The following is a 19,427-nucleotide window of genomic DNA, read 5'->3' as shown; positions in this document are numbered from 1 at the left end:
GACAAGTCTAATGTAATGGACATGGCTGTTTGCAGAAAAAGGCCTGGTGTATCCTTTATTGAAAACAAATGCTAGAGATTCCTAAGTTTCTATACTTCTAAGAATTCTAGGAAGACAAGAAATGATTGCTGTAAAATCTAATAAATCAAATCTCTACAGGAATTTTTACTCCACACCCACATATCCTCCCAGCACCCCAAAACATGCCTTCCAAGGCTTCTGTTTGTTTTTGGGATGGAGTCTCACACCATCACCTGGGCTGGAATGCAGTGGCGCGATCAAGGCTCACTGCAATCTCTGCCTCCCGGGTTCAAGTGATTCTCCTGCCTCAGCCTCCCAAGTAGCTGGGACAACAGGCACCCACCACCATGCCAAGCTAATTTTTTGTATTTTTAGTAGAAATGGGGTTTCACTATGTTGGCCAGGCTGGTCTTAAACTCCTGACCTCATGATCCGCCCGCCTCGGCCTCCCAAAGCGCTGGGATTACAGGTGTGAGCCACCGCGCCCAGCCCAGAGGCTTTAGAAAAGTAAATGGAGACAGACCCATTTGTCAGAGGGAAAACAGCATGTAAAGCAGTACTTCATGAATTATGTAAGCAACATTCCTTAGTCAACAGGCTCCTAAAATAACAGAATTGAGGGAAAAGGCCCACCGTCTGAAGGAGTTCTCCTTTCCTTCTTCTCTTTGAGTGTCTTCCGAGGTTTTGCTTCTCCTGAGGGTAAGGCTTGAAGAACAGTTCACAGTTTTAATAGTACTAAGTCCTCCCTCAGTATACACATCCTGGTTCTTTCCACGTCTGTCATCCTCATAACTCACAGCTAAGAGCAAGACATCTGCCTTTCATCTCAGCTGCACCAGAGCACTGAACCCCCTGGCCCTGCCCACAGTGGGCACTCAAGAGTCTCTTTGTAAGGCAGAAGCCTTCTGCTTTCGTACCAGGCTCATGTGCATAACAGGATTGTATTTGTTGAAAGAATTATTGTGTTATCTTTCTACCCTGTTATAACTAGAATATGCTATATAGCACATTCTTACGTGTTCAAAATATAGGAGTAAATATTCAGCCAGGAATTCTTAAGCTGTTGCCCATGGTTCTCTGGAGTTTCTATTAATCCCCTGAAATTATATGTAAAGGGTTATCTACATGTGTACATGTACGTTTTTCTTGTGGGTCCACAGTGTTCAGTTATCTAAAGGAGCTCATTAACCAAAAAAGGAATAAGCGCTACAATTTAAATTATATGTAGCAATTACTAATAAATATATGTAGTAATTACTAATAAAAAGAGAAATCCGCCTTTGGTGAAGCCAGCAGAGGGCCCTGCACTACTCCCCCCCTACTCCCCATCAACGCGGCTGGGGCTCACTTGTCGGCTCCTCGTCCACTCGACCCACGGCATCCCCCTTGATGCGGGCAGCCAGCTCATCTGCAAACGATGTAGGTCTGCTTCTTTTCTACAGCAGGAGAAATCAAAAGAATCGCTTTTTTGTAACAAACTAGTACACTTCACTTTGGACACCTAACAACATTATGTATACAAGAGCAAAGAAATTGAACTGAGGAGAAAACAGAGTTTAATTAAATGAATTTAAACATATGTACCCTATACAGCTCACCCAAGGAATAGGACTCATAAAATGTTCCTTCAAAGGGAGATGCCCTTTATTTCCTTATTCTTTTTAATACTTGACTTTAATACTTAAAAATCTAAATACGAAAATAAGAAAAAGGTGAATGGATGGAGAGACAGGAGCACTATGGTCTTCAAACTCTGGAACTAGACATATTCTGAATGATCTGACTCATAAAATCATAACATCTGGACAAGAAAGTGGTACTTGTGAGGCAATTTGAGATGCTTGCCATTATTTTCCAAAGTGTAAATGAAATGACAAATATGCCAAAATGAGTGATGTACAAAGTAAGTCACAATAAAAAGAAAAACAAGTCATTGGTTCTAAAACTCTGCCAAGTGATAGCAACTACAGCCTTCCTTACAGGTCTAGTATTTTCTTCAATGTCCTCAATATCTTCCTCCTCCTTCTCAGAGTCAGCGAAAAGGTCACAGCCATCATCATCCTCTTCCTCATCACTCATTTGTGTGGTGTGCTAAGAGTATAAAATACCAAATTAGAACTACTAGTTATTAAGCTAAAGAAGAGATACTGTCAGCCTTTAGGCTCCTCCTTCAAAGAAGTAACAGCTTTTTAAAATAATAATCATAAACATGATGCAGCAAGTTATGAAGCAAAAGATGTGCTGGAAGAAATAATACACAAGATTTACTTTGAATCTAAGAAAAATATATATATAAAAATATATATAAAATATAAATATATATATATAAATATAAATATATATATATATATTTTTTTTTTTTTTGAGATGGAGTCTAGCTCTGTGGCCCAGGCTGGAGTGCATCAGCACGATCTCGGCTCACTGCAACCTCTGCCTGCCCAGTTCATGCTATTCTCCTGCCTCGGCCTTCCGAGTAGCTGGGATTACACGCATGCACCACCACGCCCAGCAAATTTTTTGTATTTTTAGTAGAGATGGAGTTTCACCATATTGTCTAGGCTGGTCTTGAACTCCTGACTTCAGGTGATCCACCCGCCTCAGCCTCCCAAACTGCTAGGATTACAGGCGTGAGCCACCAAGCCCGGCCTAAAAATGTATCCTTTATAAGAATGTAACAACAAGAATATAAAAAGCAGAATATTAAAATATCAAAAATGGCTTACTAGAGAAATATTTTTATTTATTTATTTATTTTTGAGAAGGAGTTTCGCTCTTTTTGCCCAGGCTGAAGTGCAATGGGGTGATCTCGGCTCACTGCAACCTCCGCCTCCTAGGTTCAAGCCATTCTCCTGCCTCAGCCCTCTGAGTAGCTAGGATTACAGGCACCCGCCACCACGCCCGGCTAATTTTTATATTTTTGGTAGAGACGGGGTTTCACCATGTTGGCCAGGCTGGTCTCGAACTCCTGACCTCAGGTGATCCAACCACCTCAGCTTCCCAAAGCGCTGGGATTACATTCTCAAAGCACTGGGATTACAGGCGTGAGCCACCATGCCCAGCCTTTTACTAGAGAAATATAAACATCATCAGCATAGTCTTACCTTAGTAAGAATACTGAGTAATAGTTAAAAGGTAAAAGCTGTAACGACTAGAGAGCCATCCAAGGTAGGTCAAGCAAAAAAGCGCAGAATAACAAATCCAGGATGATACCACGCCCCGCCCCCTCTGCAAACACTACAGCATTTCTATGGAAACAGATGTGTTTATAAAAGCAAAGAAACAGACTTGGAATGACATGCTCCCAGAACATGATCCCAGTTACCTCTGAAGAGTATGCAGAGAAGGAAAGGACTGGAAGGCTCAAACTTAGCCTTATCTGTTAAGTTCTAATTTTTCCAAAGGTACACACTACTATGTATAATTAAAAAAATTTTTTTTCAATGTTTGAATCAATGAACTGTGCCAGGCATGTTACTAAAAGCACTTTATTATCTAATTTAATCCTTACAACTTTGAGGTTAGCTGCAGCACACAAAACCAACCTGTTGCATAAGCTAGTGCTTTTACTCACTATACTGTACTGTTTTTGAAAAACTGTTTGTGGCCGGGCGTGGTGGCTCACGCCTGTAATCCCAACACTTTGGGAAGCTGAGGCAGGCAGATCACCTGAGGTCAGGAGTTCAAGACCAGCCGCGCCAACATGGCGATACCCCATCTCCACTAAAAATACAAAAACTAGCTGGGCATGGTGGCACATGCCTATAATCCCAGCTACTTGGGAGGCTGAGGCATGAGAATCACTTGAACCGAAGAGGTGGAGGTTGTAGTGAACCAATATCGTGCCACTGCACTCCAGCCTGGGTAACAGAGAGAGACTCTGTCTCAAAAAAAAAAAAAAAAAAAAAAAAGGAAAGAAAAACTGTTTGCATTTACAGATCTTAATAGGAAATTCCATAGAAACAAATATCCTATGAAGAAAGACTGATCGTTAAAATTATAGAGATCAACCACATTTATGAATACAACCAGGAAAATACAGTAACAACCAGAAAGTATAAAATCCTTCATTTGATAGTTAAACATTTTTGTGAAAAAAATATTTCCCAGTTAAGAAATTTAAATGCAAATTTTTAACTAAAAGAAATTTAAAATAATCACCCCAGTGATGAGATTGTAGGAAAATCTACATGCATAATACTTAATTTAGAATGTCCACCAGACATTAAGAGTTATTAACATAACTCTATACCACCTCATTCTGAAGAAACAGTTCACCGAAGCAAAGGATTTCTATATATGAAAATATTGGCTGGGCGTGGTGGCTCATACCTGTAATCCCAGTACTCTGGGAGGGCGAAGTGGGCGGTTTGCCTGAGCTCAAGACCAGCCTGGGAAACATGGGAAGACCCTGACTCCACTAAAAATACAAAAAATTAGCCGGGCATGGTGCCACACACCCATAGTCCCAGCTACTCAGGGAGGCTGAGGCATGAGAATCGCTTGAACCCTGTAGGCGGAGATTACATTGAGCTGAGATCACACCACTGCACTCCAGCCTAGGCAACAGAGCGAGACTCTGTCTCAAAAAAAAGAAAAGAAAATATTGAATACATTATTACATCAAAAATACAACTCTAGAAATAAACCCTTTCCCTTATACATTTAGAGACTATGACAGTATCATACTCAGTATGTTTAAAAGTATAGAAGTTTACAACGCAAACTGCAAAGGCTATTCAAAATAAGGAGGCCAGGCATGGTGGCTCACGCCTGTAATCCCAGCATTTTGGGAGGCCAAGGTGGGTGGATTACCTGAGGTCAGGAGCTCGAGACCAGCCTGGCCAACATGGTGAAACCCCATCTCTACTAAAAATACAAAAAAAGTTGGCTGAGCATGGTGGTGGGCACCTGTAATGCCAGCTACTCGGGAGGCTGAGGCAGAAGAATTATTTGAACCCAGGAGGCGGAGGTTGCAGTGAGCTGAGATCATGCCACGGCACTCCAGCCTGGACAACAAGAGCAAAACTCCATCTCAAAAAAATAATAATAATAAATAAGGATACATTTATAAAATGTTAACATAAAATGGCAGAAAATGAAAGATGCACACTATGAAAAGAATACGCCTTTAGCTATTCAAAAATTAAGATAACCGTGCTAAGACAGTAGGGTAAGAAGTTTTCATCTTGTGAATACTCAATAATGTTACTGCTAGATTGTCTCCAATTTTAAAACAGAAGAGGGACTCATGCAAAGTAGTTCAGTTTGGGTAACTGAGTCTTCTTTTAGAGGCTCTGTTTTCCAATTGTGTTTTTCACTTCTTTGAAACTTCTTTTCTAAGAAAAATAAACTATAAAGCAAAATTGGAAAAAATATATACAAAGGAGGTAGTTAGCCTAAATACATGAAATGCTTAAAGGAAAATAAATTGTATACAAGAAAAAATCCTCACTTGGTCATAAATCATTCCAAAGTAATATTAGTATATATACTATGCTTCAATTAAAATGTAAAAACAAAGTCATTTCAATATATGAGCCTTACCCGGTTTTGTTCATTGTCACTATGATGGGCAAAATCTTCATCTGACTCCTTTGTGGGGAAGAAAAGGCTTTGTTGTTAAATGGGCTTTACTTAGAAGCACAGAAATGATTGCAGGTCTAAGTCTCTGGGGCAGGCTGATTCTATGTCAAGTGGAGAAAAAGCTCTGACACTCAGTCTCTTTGTACTGACTACTGGTCACCTTAAGTATCAAGGTGCAGATAAGCTGGATAGCTGGCAATATTGTGAAGGGTTGTTCCAGTTAACATGTAATTTTTGTGGTTCACTTAAATGCCTCTAACAATTTGTTCACATCACCTGCACTTTCAACTCTTGCCTTTGGATTTAAAGAGTTGCACATTTAACTAACTAAATTACTGAAAGTCAGTTTGTGTTATTTTACATTTTGGACTATACTGTCTCTATTTCCTTGCATTATTCACAATAGCAAAGACTTGGAACCAACCCAAATGTCCAACAATAATAGACTGGATTAAGAAAATGTGGCACATATACACCATGGAATACTATGCAGCCATAAAAAATGATGAGTTCATGTCCTTTGTAGGGACATGGATGAAACTGGAAACCATCATTCTCAGTAAACTATCGCAAGAACAAAAAACCAAACACCGCATATTCTCACTCATAGGTGGGAATTGAACAATGAGATCACATGGACACAGGAAGGGGAATATCACGCTCTGGGGACTGTGGTGGGGTGGGGGGAGGGGGGAGGGATAGCATTGGGAGATATACCTAATGCTAGATGACGAGCTAATGGGTGCAGCGCACCAGCATGGCACATGTATACATATGTAACTAACCTGCACAATGTGCACATGTACCCTAAAACTTAAAGTATAATAAAAAAAATAATAAAAATAACTACTTCATTAGGCCCAAGAAGGGGACATCAATAGTTGCTACGAGCAACTATTGATGAAGTGCCACATAGAAGTGCCACATCGGTGGCTAAAAGCAAGGGATTCCCCTAATGAGCACTGCTTTTGTTATACGAAAGTTACTTAAGAAAAGCTCATTTCCTGCTGTCAGGTTTTTCTTTGGAGGACTGGAAGAAAGGCGGGCAGGGAGAGTGCAGAAAGGGGGACCAACCAGAAGAGAAAAGCACATACACAACACTGTCTCCTTTCGGAAATCCCATACTCGAGGACTCTCCTGCAACATGGCTGTGTCCTTTGCAATAACGAATATCCCATCTAAAGAACAACTACAGATTCAACTGTAGTCAAGGCCCACAAACTCAAACTCTAGACAAGGAAATGAAATTATGCTCTGTGGATATGAAAGCGCTAGCGGCAGCAGCAAAATAGAATGTAAGTGGTGGCTTTCGGTATATCCTGCTCTAGGTTTTATAGTTTACAAAAGTTCTAAATGTAGATTTTTTCCCTTAGAATTATTCAAAGACAGAATATACTCAAAGACTATATCCCAGGCAGAGATTCCACCAAAACATCTAAGCTGCCCTTCTCAAAAATATATTGGGTGAAAGAGATATTTGGTGGCAAGGTGGGAGAGAGGATAATAGTGGAAGAGATGAAAGCAGCTTTCCCTATTATTGTACATAAGGCAAAAAGGAAATCTAACCCTTGGGAAAAAAAACTCAGAATGTGGCTTCTATCACTGTTAAAAGCTTTATGGAAGCAGATTACGAATTCACAGTTATGCTATTTACTTAGCCTGCTAGGCCCATCTTAAATTAAGCTTGCTGCCCACCGTGACCTGGTCATACCAAACAGCCCTTACCTCCTCTTCTTTCTCTTCCTCAGTGTCCACAATACTGCCACGATCACTGCCTACAGAGCCTTCTGTTGAGAAGAGAGATAAGGGTCACCACACCAATATTCACAAGAAAATGTCCTTAGCTCAAAATCACAAACCACCATACAACAGCATCACAGAGATCTTGATAAAACCATCTATACCCACTTACTGGAATTGAAAGTGTCATTATGGTGAGGAATTACATATTTATGTAGTCTTGAAGTATCTCTCCCCCCAAAAATTATTCATTACAAATAAAAAAAAAATTGCTTGTACTCTTTAAAGATGTCAGGGTCATAAAAAGCAAAGAAAGGCTGAGAAATGGCATCAGATTAAAAGATAACTGAAGATTTGACAACCAAATGTGGTGGCTGGTCCTGGATTGAGTCCCGGACCACAGAACAAAAGAGAGAGACTGTAAAGGGTGTCACTGGGACAAACGGCAAAATGTGAACATAGCAGCAGATTGGATAATACCCTTATGTCCAGGAAAATATCCTGGCTTTGTAATTCTACTGTGATTATACAAGAGATGTCCTTGTTCTTAGAAAACACACACAGAGGATCACCTGAGGTCAGGCGTTCGAGACCAACCTGCCCAACATGGTAAAACCCCATCTCTACTAAAAATACAAAAATTAGCCAGGTGTGGTGGTGGGCACCTGTAATCCCAGCTACTCAGGAGGCTGAGGTAGGAGAATTGCTTGAACCCAGGAGGTGGAGGTTGCAGTGAGCCAAGATCGCGCCATTGCATTCCAGCCTGGGTGACCAGAGAGAAACTCCGGCTCAAAAAGAAAGAAAGAAAGAAAAACAGCCGGGCACGGTGGCTCATGCTTGTAATCCCAGCACTTTGGGAGGCCGAGGCGGGCAGATCATGAGGTCAGGAATTCGAGACCAGCCTGGACAATATGGTGAAACCCCGTCTCTACTAAAAATACAAAAATTGGCCAGGTGTGGTGGTGCACGCCTGTGGTCCCAGCTACTCAGGAGGCTGAGGCAGAAAAATCGCTTAAATCCGGGAGGCGGAGGTTGCAGTGAGCTGAGATCGCACCACTGCACTCCAGCCTGGGCCACAGAGCGAGACTCTGTCTCAAAAAAAGAAAAAGACAAAGAAAAGAAAAAAAGAAAACACACAGAGAAACATTTAGAAGTAACAGGGCATGAGCATGATGTCTCCCAAATAGGCTCAAGACAAAATATTACGTATATGTAGAGAACAATCTAACAAATGTGGTGAAATGTTAACTGGTAAACCCAGGTGAAGGGTATATGAGAGTTCTTTGAACTATTCTTGAAACTTTAATGTAAAATTTGAAATTATTTTAAAATAAAAAAGAAATGTTAAGGAACAAAATTATTTGGTGAAGAAAAGTACCTTCACTGGACAGCTCTCCAAGACCTACATCTTCTTGTTCCATGAACAGCTTTGACCCAATGAGATATGGTAAAGGACGATCAATGTATAGATCCTGTACATCATGAAAGGAATAGGCTGTCAAACATTTCAGTTGAAAACAAACTTACATGTGCCACCTGATACCCTGTTCCATCTGACTATCCCAAACAAGCTACATAACGAAAGTGGAGAATAAGAAACACAGCAGGACTAAAAGTTAAAAAAAAAATTCTTTTTTTCACTGATTTTTTTAAAAGTCAAATCCTAGGTAAAGATGTCAAGGTAAGGCCGGGCACCATGGCTCACGCCTGTAATCCTAGCACTTTGGGAAGCCAAGGCGGGTGGATCACTTGAGGTCAGGAGTTTGAGACCAGCCTGACCAACGTGGTGAAACCCCGTCTCTACTAAAAATCCAAAAAAATTAGCGGGACATGGTGGCGGGTAACTGTCATCCTAGCTACTCGGGCGGCTGAGGCAGGAGAATCACTTGAACCCAGGAAACAGTGTTGCAGTGAGCTGAGATTGCACTACTGCACTCCAGCCTGGGCAATAAGAGCAAAACTCCATCTCAAAAAAAAAAAAAAAAAAAAGATACCAAAGTAAAGCTGTATCACACAGAATCTCCCTCCCCAAGGGCCTAATTAACAAAATTTAACAAAAATGGCAAAAGCCTACCAAAAGTCTATCAGCAGCAAGCAAACAGGGAAAAGGGTACAACCTCCTAGTATAAGGTCCAAGAAGAGGAGGACCAAGGAAAGAAACTGAACATTCTGGTGAGCTGTCCCCTAAAAAGCAGTACTAATGAGACATAATGTAACTATATATTTTAATATAAAAATAGATTAGGCCGGGCACAGTGGCTCATGCCTGTAATCCCAGCACTTTCGGAGGCTGAGGCAGATGGATCACTTGAGGTCAGGAGTTTGAGACCAGCCTGGCCAACGTGGTGAAACCCAATATCTACCGAAAATACTAAAAATTAGCTGGGTGTGGTGGCGCACACCTATAATCCCATTTACTCAGGAGACTAAGACAGGAGAATCTCTTGAACCCAGGAGGTGGAGGTTGCAGTGAGCCAACATCACATCACTCCACTCCAGCCTGGGCAACAAGAGCGAAACTCTGACTCAAAATAAATAAATAAATAAATAAAAAAGATTATAACTCAATAAACAGAAGAACAATACCCCCTAGTGGTTCCACACTGTTGAATTTAGAAAATTGAAGTTGGTAAAATAAGACCAGATGAGAAAACAGAGTGAGGGCAGGAGACTGTGGCCCCAACAGCACATGCTGGAGATCTGCCCATGTCAGCCGTCTACTCCTGTCAGTCCCACACCACACACACATTAAAAATTTAGGGTTGGTCGGTTGCAGTAGCTCCCACCTGTAATCCCAGCACTTTTGGGAGGCCGAGGCGGGCGGATCACTTGAGGTCAGGAGTTCAAGACCAGCCTGGTCACCATGGTGAAACCCCGTCTCTACTAAAAAATACAAAAATTAGCCAGGTGTCATGTTACATGCCTGTAATCCCAGCTACTTGGAAGGCTGAGGCAGGAGAATCACTTGAACCCAGGAGACAGAAGCTGCAGTGAGCCGAGATTGCGCCACTCCAGCTTGGGCAACAAGAGTGAAACTCTGTCTCAAAAAAAAAAAAAAAATAGGGTCAAGAAAGTGCTCCACCCTTGCACAGCCTCCTACCTCCACTGCTGAAGGAAATGCTGCCCTGTCCCCTGTGAGGCATTGCCCTTTGGCAATGATATCTCTTCCTTGTCAAAGGACTCTGGGGCAGGGGAGAATAATTCTGACATTTCACACAACAACAGAAAGATTGGGAAGGTTAAAGTAAAGGTTCAACGACGTCACAGCAACCAATGGAGCATAAGGCAAAGACAGCGTTAATTTGGACTAATTCTCACTGACTCAGAAGACAACCCCAAATCCTCCTACAAAAGAAAAGTGTACCTCCACAACTTTCTCTGCAAGGGGAAAAAAAAAAGAGAGAAAGTGCTGTGTGTCTTGGAAGTATCAAGTGTGGTCCAGGCAATCCATTTCCCAGAGTCCACTGCTGACTTTTAAAGGCATACAGTGAAAATCCAAGCAGCAAGTGTACCGGTCAGTGCCAAATGATCTGCCTCAATTTGGTGTGACTCAGCAAAGCTCAAACTGGAAGAGAAATGTGCAGCTACAGAATGACTAGAAGAGTGGTTCAGGCTGGGTGCGGTGGCTCATGTCTGTAATCCCAGCACTTTGGGAGGCCAAGGCAGGCGGATCACCTGAGGTCGGGAGTTCGAGACCAGCCTGGCCAACATGGTGAAACCCTGTCTATACTAAAAATACAAAAATTAGCTGGGTGTGGTGGTGGGCGCCTGTAATCCCAGCTACTCGGGAGGCTGGGGCAGGAGAATCGCTTGAACCCAGGAGGCAGAGGTTGCAGTGAGCCAACATCGTGCCATGCACTCCAGCCTGGAGGACAGAGTGAAACTCCGTCTCAAAAAAAAAAAAGGGTTTGGTTCTGTGGCATGTTTTAATTCGGAAGGCCTTGTGTGTCACAAGGCCTCTTTCTATAAATCACTGTGGTAACTTTCTGTGTTCACTACCGAGAGACTCTGTGTCACCCCAATTGTCTCTTTGAACAATGTGGGAGAAAGTGTGTCAAGCAACCAACACTCACTAGGCTATGAGGGAGCCTGGACGTGAATGCTCACAGCAGCTTCATTTGTATTTAATAATTGCCCAAACCGGAAACAACCCAAATGCCTTTCAGTTCTTCTGCAGTCTTCCTTAGCCCAAGCTACATAATTTCAGGTTCCCAACACTCTCTGTCTCTTTTGAGCCTCCCCACCCTTCAAACCCCAATTCAAATATCATCTTTGCCCCAAAATTCCAGCTGGAAGTCAATTCTCTCTCAGGGCATTTACAACGGTTATTCGTATGTATGTCTCCTCTCTCCCACCAGACTGCAACACACACCTCGAGAGTAGAGGCCATGCTCTGCATCTTTGCACCCCAACTTGACATGTTGCCTTGCGCCTCACAAGTACTCCATCAGTGCTCAGGTAAAGCGAGTCTTTCTGGTGGAGTCAATGTGAGACTACTAAGTGACATACTCACTTCCCAGAGGTTAAGTCCATGACTTACTAATCGTGTGCCCAATTAAAGTAGCCCAAACATAATAGTTGTGCAATAAATATTTAAGTTGAATGTCTTCACCTTTGGTTCAAGGATCAGTTCCACCCGCCCATTAGCATCATCTTCCTCGGAGTCTGAGTTTCCTGCTTTGATATCAAGTTGCTCAAAGGCACTGTCCAATACTTGTAAGCCATAGTTCACAGCCTCCTGGACTTTAGGAATGAGATCTACTTCTTTCTGCTCTCGTGTCTTCTCCTACAAAATAAATACCATGCAGTATGGGTCTCCAATATACTGATACTGCCCCAAAAGAATACTGTGAATGTTCTCTAAAGCCTAGCCTCAAGCTCCAAAAAAACTTATTAAAAATGTTAAAAAAGTCAAATTCTGCTGAATGCCTTGACACAGACTTTGGAGTAAGACTGCAAGTTTTAAATCCCAAGTTTGCCCCTTTCTGGACATGCATCAAACTACCTAAGGTTCCAGAGCTCAAGGGTCATCGTCTACAAAAGCAGAGGTACAACTAGTGTGTGGAGAAGTATCCCAACAATGAATACATGCTGTTTCCCCACTGCTGGAGGGCCTAGACTCTCAGACTCACCATGACTATCCCACGAGCCCTGGTTATCCCTTGGGTAATTTTAGGTGTTAAGACTTAGAAGGAAGGTCACAGAGGTCTCATTTTTCAATTACAGTTTAAAGAGACAAAAAAAAAATACTGGACAATTACAATTATTTTATAAATCTGTTCTACATCAAAAGGGGGTCATTTTCATCTCCGGTCTATTCTGTGTATACCCTACAACAATGCCCCACTCAAGAAAAAAGGTTTGTTCATATCACCAACAGGCTGAGAATCTCCCTCAGGTGTCTTCTTCCTGCAACAGCAGTTCTCAATGGCAGTCCCCGCAGACACAAGTGTGCCATTGTGAGAAATACCGAAAAATATTTAGTGTCATTTCCCCCTCTACAAATATTCTAGAAGGAACCAAACCACACAGTGTTGTTCTGAGGGCCAAAGGCAAAAAAAAAACCCTACGAGCATTTTAGTCTTTTATCTCAAGTACTGAAGTCTTTCTAACTGAACTTTTTTGTCTTGGTTGTGTATTTTTCTATTTGGATATGCTTGATTCTGAGTTAAATAGCTAATATTGTACTGAGTTTGTGAAAATGTGTATGAAATATATAGCAGTTTTTAAAAATAGTACACTAAATACCTATCACCTTCAAATTAAACCCTGAATTGGTATAACCAGATACTACTGCACTTAAATGGCTAGCAAATCCTTGAGTTCTATTAAAAATAAAATAACCTGCTGGGCACAGTAGCTCACGCCTGTAATCCTAGCACTTTGGTAGGCCAAGGCTGGCGGATCATTTGAGGTCAGGAGTTTGAGACGAGCCTGGCCAACATGGCAAAACCCCGTCTCTACAATAAATACAAAAAAATTAGCCAGGCGTGGTGGCACACGCCTGTAGTCCCAGCTACTCGGGAAGCTGAGCCAGGAGAATCACTTGCACCCAGGAAGCAGAGGTTGCAGTGAGCTGATATCGTGCCACTGCACTCCAGCCTGGGCAACAGAGTGAGACTCCATCTCAAAATAAAAAATTTTTTTAAATAAAAAATAAAATAAAATAACTTTTTTTAAAAAATGCTGGCAACAGGCAGAACTATAGCTGGTTTCGAATACCCTTTTCCTAGTCTAACAGCTTCATCTGTTACAAGTAATAATTGCTGACAAAGGGCCAACCTTTACAGGTGATCCATATTTTCTGAATAAATGAGAACAAAATCAAAGCTACTCCAATAATAAACTTATTCACAGTCCATGTGCCTTCCTGAGTGGAAGAAAAAGAAATCTCTGCTGGAGTGCTAAGAAGTCAGTGTGACCCAGAACCTCTTAGCTATGTTTTGGGCTCTGGTGTGAGAAGATCTCAGGAAGAAGGCTGGTCCATCTGTAACTCAGGAAGCCACAGGAAAAAAATGACCTCTGTGACCCTCCAAATCTGTAATATGTACTATCTGGCCCTTTACAAAAGAAGTTTGCTGACTTCTACTCTATTCTTATATCAGAATTCAAGGATTTGATCTCTGTATTAGTTAATACACTACATTTCAGAAACAAAGGAAAGAATCCCCTCTTGGGCTGCTGTCAGGAGCAGTCCCTCCCTTTCCCAACCCCGCCCACCATCCCCCAGTTCCCACATAACACATCGATCTCCACCACATTTTTCAAAGTCAGAAACTCAGCTAAGAGTGATTTTATACAAGTACCTGCTCTGTTTTTTCTGCCTCAGCCTTGAGTACTGGCTCCTCCACTTCTTCATCATATACACGCTAAATATGGAAGCAAACTCAATGTTAAAAGGTCAACACGTCATTGGAAATAAATCACAATATAAGAATTCACACAGTAACTAAGGACAAAGATGGGGAAGGAAATGGTTATTCAGCAAAGGGCTGAGACCACTACCAGGTGGGTGTCCGTAACAGTGGGTCATGGACAAACAGCAAAGAATAGTCCATTCACCAAAAAAAAAAAGAAAATTTTTAAATACAAATGACTAGGAAACATGATGAAACTTTAACCTCGTTGTAAACCAAGAGTTGCAAAAACAGTAAGATATCAGTTTTCACACCTTTTCATTTAACCTAATAATGTTGATGGGCAATGATACAGTATTCTGACCCCAGGTTATGGAGAATGTCAACTGATGTAATTTATCAACTAGGAAACTAGAACTTCAGGATTTTGAACAAGGAAAATGGTAAAGGCAAAACTTATTTTCATTCAGTTGCTTAAAATGGCTGATAAATTTTTATTATCCCATTTGTATGAAAGCAGAGAGAAAAATCTACCACTGACTTGCCAGAAAGCCTGGGCATTTGACTAACCCTGACAGCATGGGTAGGCAAGACTCTCTTTTCCAGAAAAGACCCACTGCTCTGCCAAATCACTGTGATTCTTGGTTTTTAAAATCATTTTTATGTTTTAAAAACTACCGAAGTACAACATGCTTGTTATAAAAAGTCAATATAGGCCAGGTGCGGTGGCTCACGCCTGTAAGGCCAGCACTCTCTGAGACCGAGGCAAGGGGATCACTTGAGCTCAGGAGTTCAAGATCAGCCTGGGCAACATAGTGAGACCTCATCTCTACAAAAAATACAAAAATTAGCCAGGTATGGTGGTGTGCACCTGTAATTCCAGCTACTTGTGGGGCTTAGTCAGGAGGAACTCTTGAGCTTGGGAGGTAAAGGCTGCAGTGAGCCCTGATTGCACCACTGCACTGCAGCTTGGGTGAAAAAGTGAGACCCTATCTCAAAAATAAAATGAAATGAAATTAAAATTTTTTAAAAAGAAAGAAATAAGAAGTCAATATAAATGAACTGATGAAAATCTTCTGGCATTAGACAGTGGCCGTGATTATAAAACTTTGAGTACAGTAAAAACCACCAAATTGTATACTTTTTAAAGGACTGAATTTTATGGTATGTGAATTCTATCTCAATTTTTAAAATTTTAAGTCAATATAAAGGCACATGTAAAAGAGATGTATTTTAAAATAGTTCCCTCCCTATCCCCAACCTGATCCTTGGAATACCCAATTTAAGCCTGGTGTGTATGCTCATTTCCTGAGGCTCTGAACATAAATATAAGCTAACAAGTGCATATATTTAGAGCTCTCCTACCCTTCCTGCTTATTTATTTATTTATTTAGAGACAGAGTCTAGCTCTGTCACCCAGGCTGGAGTGCAGTGGCAGGATCTTGGCTCACTGCAACCTCCACCTCCCAGGCTCAAATGATTCTCTTGTCTCAGCCTCCCGAGTAGTTGGGATTACAGGCGGGCACCACCACACCCGGCTAATTTGTTTTTGCCCTTTTTTTTTTTTTTTGAGATGGAGTCTCACTCTGTTGCCAAGGCTGGAGTGCAGTGGTGCGATCTCGGCTCACTGCAAGCTCTGCCTCCTGGGTTCACGCCATTCTCCTGCCTCAGCCTCCCGAGTAGCTGGGACTACAGGTGCCTGCCACCCATGCCCAGCTAATTTTTTTTGTATTTTTAGTAGAGATGGGGTTTCACCATGTTAACCAGGATGGTCTCAATCTGACCTCGTGATTCGCCCACCTCAGCCTCCCAAAGTGCTGGGATTACAGGTGTGAGCCACCATGCCCGGCCTGCATTTTTTTTTTTTTTTAGTAGAGATGGGGTTTCACCATGTTGGCCAGGCTGGTCTCAAACTCCTTGACCTCAAGTGATCCATCGGCCTTGGCCTCCCAAAGTGCTGGGATTACAGGTGTGAGCCATTGTGCCCGGCTGAAACTGATTATTTATTTATTATTTATTTATATACCTAGAGAGGGATTTTACCTAGAGAGGGAATAAATAAATCTTAATAGTCATTCCCAGATTCTATGCACAAATGTGTAGAATTCCCTGTCACTAGCAGCATACTCAAGTGCCCCTTACCCAAACCTTTGCCAGCAATGGCTCCTGTCCACCCATCTTTAAGTATCTGCCAATCTGATCAAACAATGTTGTTTTTAAACGATCATATCCTCTGACCCAAAATTCTACTTCTTGAAATTTAGCTCCCATGAAAATTATCATAAATGCAAACATCAGAATGTTCATGGTATCATGATTTCCAGCAGAAAGTCACAAATACCAAATTTATAATTCTATGCAATTCCAATCAAACGCTAATAAAATATTCTGTGGCACAATATAGTAAGATAATCGTGCTGGGGGCAGTGGCTCACGACTGTAATCCCAGCACTTTAGGAGGCTCACGCCTGTAATCCCAGCACTTTGGGAGGCTCATGCCTGTAATCCCAGCACTTTGGGATCACCTGCGGTCAGGAGTTTGAGACCAGCCTGGCCAACATGGTGAAACCATGGCAAAACCCCATCTTTACTAAAAATATAAAAATTAGCTTGATGTGGTGGCCGGTGCCTGTAATCCCAGCTACTCAGGAGGCTGAGGCAGGAGAATCGCTTAAACTTGGGAGGCAGAGGTTGCAGTGAGCCGAGATTGCACAATTGCACTCCAGTCTGAGCAACAAGACTGAAACTCTATTTCAAAAAAATAAATAAATAAGTAAAAGATAATCCTCAAATTCACACAGAAAAGTAAAAAGCCAAAGATTGATAACCATGACAATTCTGAATAAAAAGAGATTATGGGGACTTGCCCTAATAAGACATTAGAAATCTGCAGTATTTAAGATTATGATACTGGCAAACAGCAGAGAAACAAAACAAACAGCAGAGGGCAGAAACAGACCCACAATTCCATGGAGGCCTGATTTTATTTTCACATAAACACACACAAACGTTCATACATAATAGTCAATGAAGAAAAGAACAACTACACAATAAAGGTTATCTATAAGGGATAAAAATGAAATCCCTCTCTAGGTAAAAAGAATAAAAAGTTGGCCAGGCATGGTGGCGAACACCTGTGGTCCTAGCCAGCTATTCAGGAGGCTGAGATGGGAGGATGGCTTGAGCCCAGGAGTTTGAGGCTGCAGTGAGCTGTCTCCACCACTGAACTCCAGCCTGGGCAACAGAGGGAGATCCTGTCTCAAAAACAAAAAAAGAATAAAAAGGCAGAGATACCAAGGAATCCCCACCCAAAATGATTAGAGTTAAGGACGAATATGGTGGGTAGGCACCTTTGAAGCAAATGTGGCAAGATACAAAACCACTGATGCTAGGTGCTACATTTTCTTAGCACTTGTGGTTTCTCTCTGAACTTTTCTATTTATTTATGAAACATTTATGAAATTTATGAAACATTTCATAAATAACATTTAATATTAGAAGATTATTAAATAAATTATGATACGGTTTAAGAACAAAAAAATTATATTCACAAAAGTCTCAAAGATGGGTTAAATAAGTTCACATTAAGAAAAAAAGTAGGCTGCAAATGTAAATACACACACACACACACATACCGTCATCTAGAAAAGGTTAAAGTTAAAAAACAAGAACAGAAAAAAATACACTGAAAAGTTCAATGGTTGGTTAATTTGGGGTAGCTGATTTTTTGTAGGTTCAATTATTTATTTATTTATTTATTATTATTTTTTTGAGACGGAGTCTTGCTCTGTCACCCTGGCTGAAGTGCAGTGGCAGGATCTCGGCTCACTGCAAGCTCTGCCTCCCGGGTTCACGCCCTTCTCCTGCCTCAAGCTCCCGAGTAGCTGGGACTACAGGCGCCTGCCACCACGCCTGGCTAATTTTTTTGTATTTTTTAGTAAAGACGGAGCTTCACCGTGTTAGTCAGGATGGTCTCAATCTCCTGACCTCGTGATCCGCCCACCTCGGCCTCCCAAAGTGCTACAGGCGTGAGCCACCGCACCCGGCCTACTGTAGGTTCAATTCTTTTAAGCCTGATGTCTGCATGGGAAATGGACTTAGAATATATGTGCTAAACCTTGAGAGGCTCCCCTCAAGCTGAGGAAATTTCACATGATTTTTCTTTTTCTTACTTTTCCTAATTGCTCTATAAAGATCAGGGATTACTTTGGTAATTTTCAAAGTCAGGACTCCAAAAAGTTAAGTAAATCTCAAAAGTGAGACTTTAAGACCTGGCAGCTACCATGGTTACCTATCAGCAGCCTGCAGCTGGAAAGCCAAACATGACATCTAAGAAACCTAAACCCATGGGACCTAAAGCCCATGGGATCTTTTCAGGGTGAGCAGGACTATGCATCCTCAACTACTTCATATCCAGCAGATAACCAATGCTAACTTCTTTCATCCTCACCTGCTAAACTCACAGCTTCATGTGTTTTGTGATCAATTTACAGTCAGATAGCTATACCCAGGACTGTTAAATATCTTTGGTATTGCTCCTCATCTGGGGAGACAGGGTAAAAGGGGAAAGAGGGGAACTGGGGAAAAAGGGACCAGGGCTGGAGAGTAACAGACTATACACAGCCCTGGTCCCCTTTCATTTATGCGTACTCTCATTCATTCAAATATTCACTGGATCCCTAAATATCAGGCTTGTGCTGGACCCCTCAAATATAGTTGTTGTTAAAAATATGGGGCTTGATTTAGCGGGAGGGTCCAACTCATCAAATCCCATCAATAATTGTAAAATTACAATTGTAAGAAGTCTACTAAAGAATGTGATGCTTCAGCTGCTTTTATCCAGGGGGTGTGCCTAGTGCAGAGGGTCCAGGAGGAAGTAATATAATTGAGCAGAGACCTAGAAGACAGACAGATGTCAATCAAAGGGTAGAGGCATAGGAAGCAATGTAAGCAAAGGCCCCGTAGCAGCAGGGCATATGGCATCTCCAAGGAATGAGAAGGCTGGAGTGTCAAAAGCAAGGGGCATTATGTAAAATAAAGCAGGTCTAGGGGGAGAGGGAAAAACCTGTGCAGGAAATTATATGTTAATAACGCTTTTGGGCTTTACCTCCTTCTCTCTAATTGCTGAGTACTTGACAGTTTCAGCAACTCCATCTGTTTCTTCAATAGAAAAGTAGAAAAGGAGGGAAAAATGACCAAAATTCAGCTTTTATAAATCAACAGGAA

At 41.6% G+C, this 19,427-nt stretch overlaps 1 protein-coding gene across 29 annotated transcripts in view; it reads right to left on the bottom strand.

Moving 5' to 3' along the window:
- The window catches only part of WASHC2A (WASH complex subunit 2A), a 65,556-nt gene that overhangs the window by 40,622 nt on the left and 5,507 nt on the right, over positions 1 to 19,427 (bottom strand). For 19 of the 29 annotated variants that reach the window (NM_001005751.3, NM_001291398.2, XM_017016227.2 and 16 more), the window contains exons 4-11: positions 14,151 to 14,213; positions 11,957 to 12,130; positions 8,723 to 8,816; positions 7,330 to 7,391; positions 5,566 to 5,613; positions 2,002 to 2,112; positions 1,370 to 1,457; positions 655 to 726 (exon numbers count right to left, since the gene is read on the bottom strand). In NM_001005751.3, the coding sequence (NP_001005751.1) occupies positions 655 to 726; positions 1,370 to 1,457; positions 2,002 to 2,112; positions 5,566 to 5,613; positions 7,330 to 7,391; positions 8,723 to 8,816; positions 11,957 to 12,130; positions 14,151 to 14,213 (712 nt within the window). Of the gene's footprint in view, positions 1 to 654; positions 727 to 1,369; positions 1,458 to 2,001; positions 2,113 to 5,565; positions 5,614 to 7,329; positions 7,392 to 8,722; positions 8,817 to 10,130; positions 10,163 to 11,956; positions 12,131 to 14,150; positions 14,214 to 19,427 lie in introns of those variants that run through there. The other 10 variants (NM_001437388.1, NM_001437385.1, XM_047425210.1 and 7 more) reach the window with 3 other exon arrangements.

This window comes from Homo sapiens, chromosome 10 (assembly GCF_000001405.40).
Source record: "Homo sapiens chromosome 10, GRCh38.p14 Primary Assembly".
Classification (NCBI taxonomy): Eukaryota; Metazoa; Chordata; class Mammalia; order Primates; family Hominidae; genus Homo; species Homo sapiens.
The sequence above is the reverse complement of the archived record's forward strand: the minus strand, read 5'-3'. Positions and strand labels throughout refer to the sequence as shown.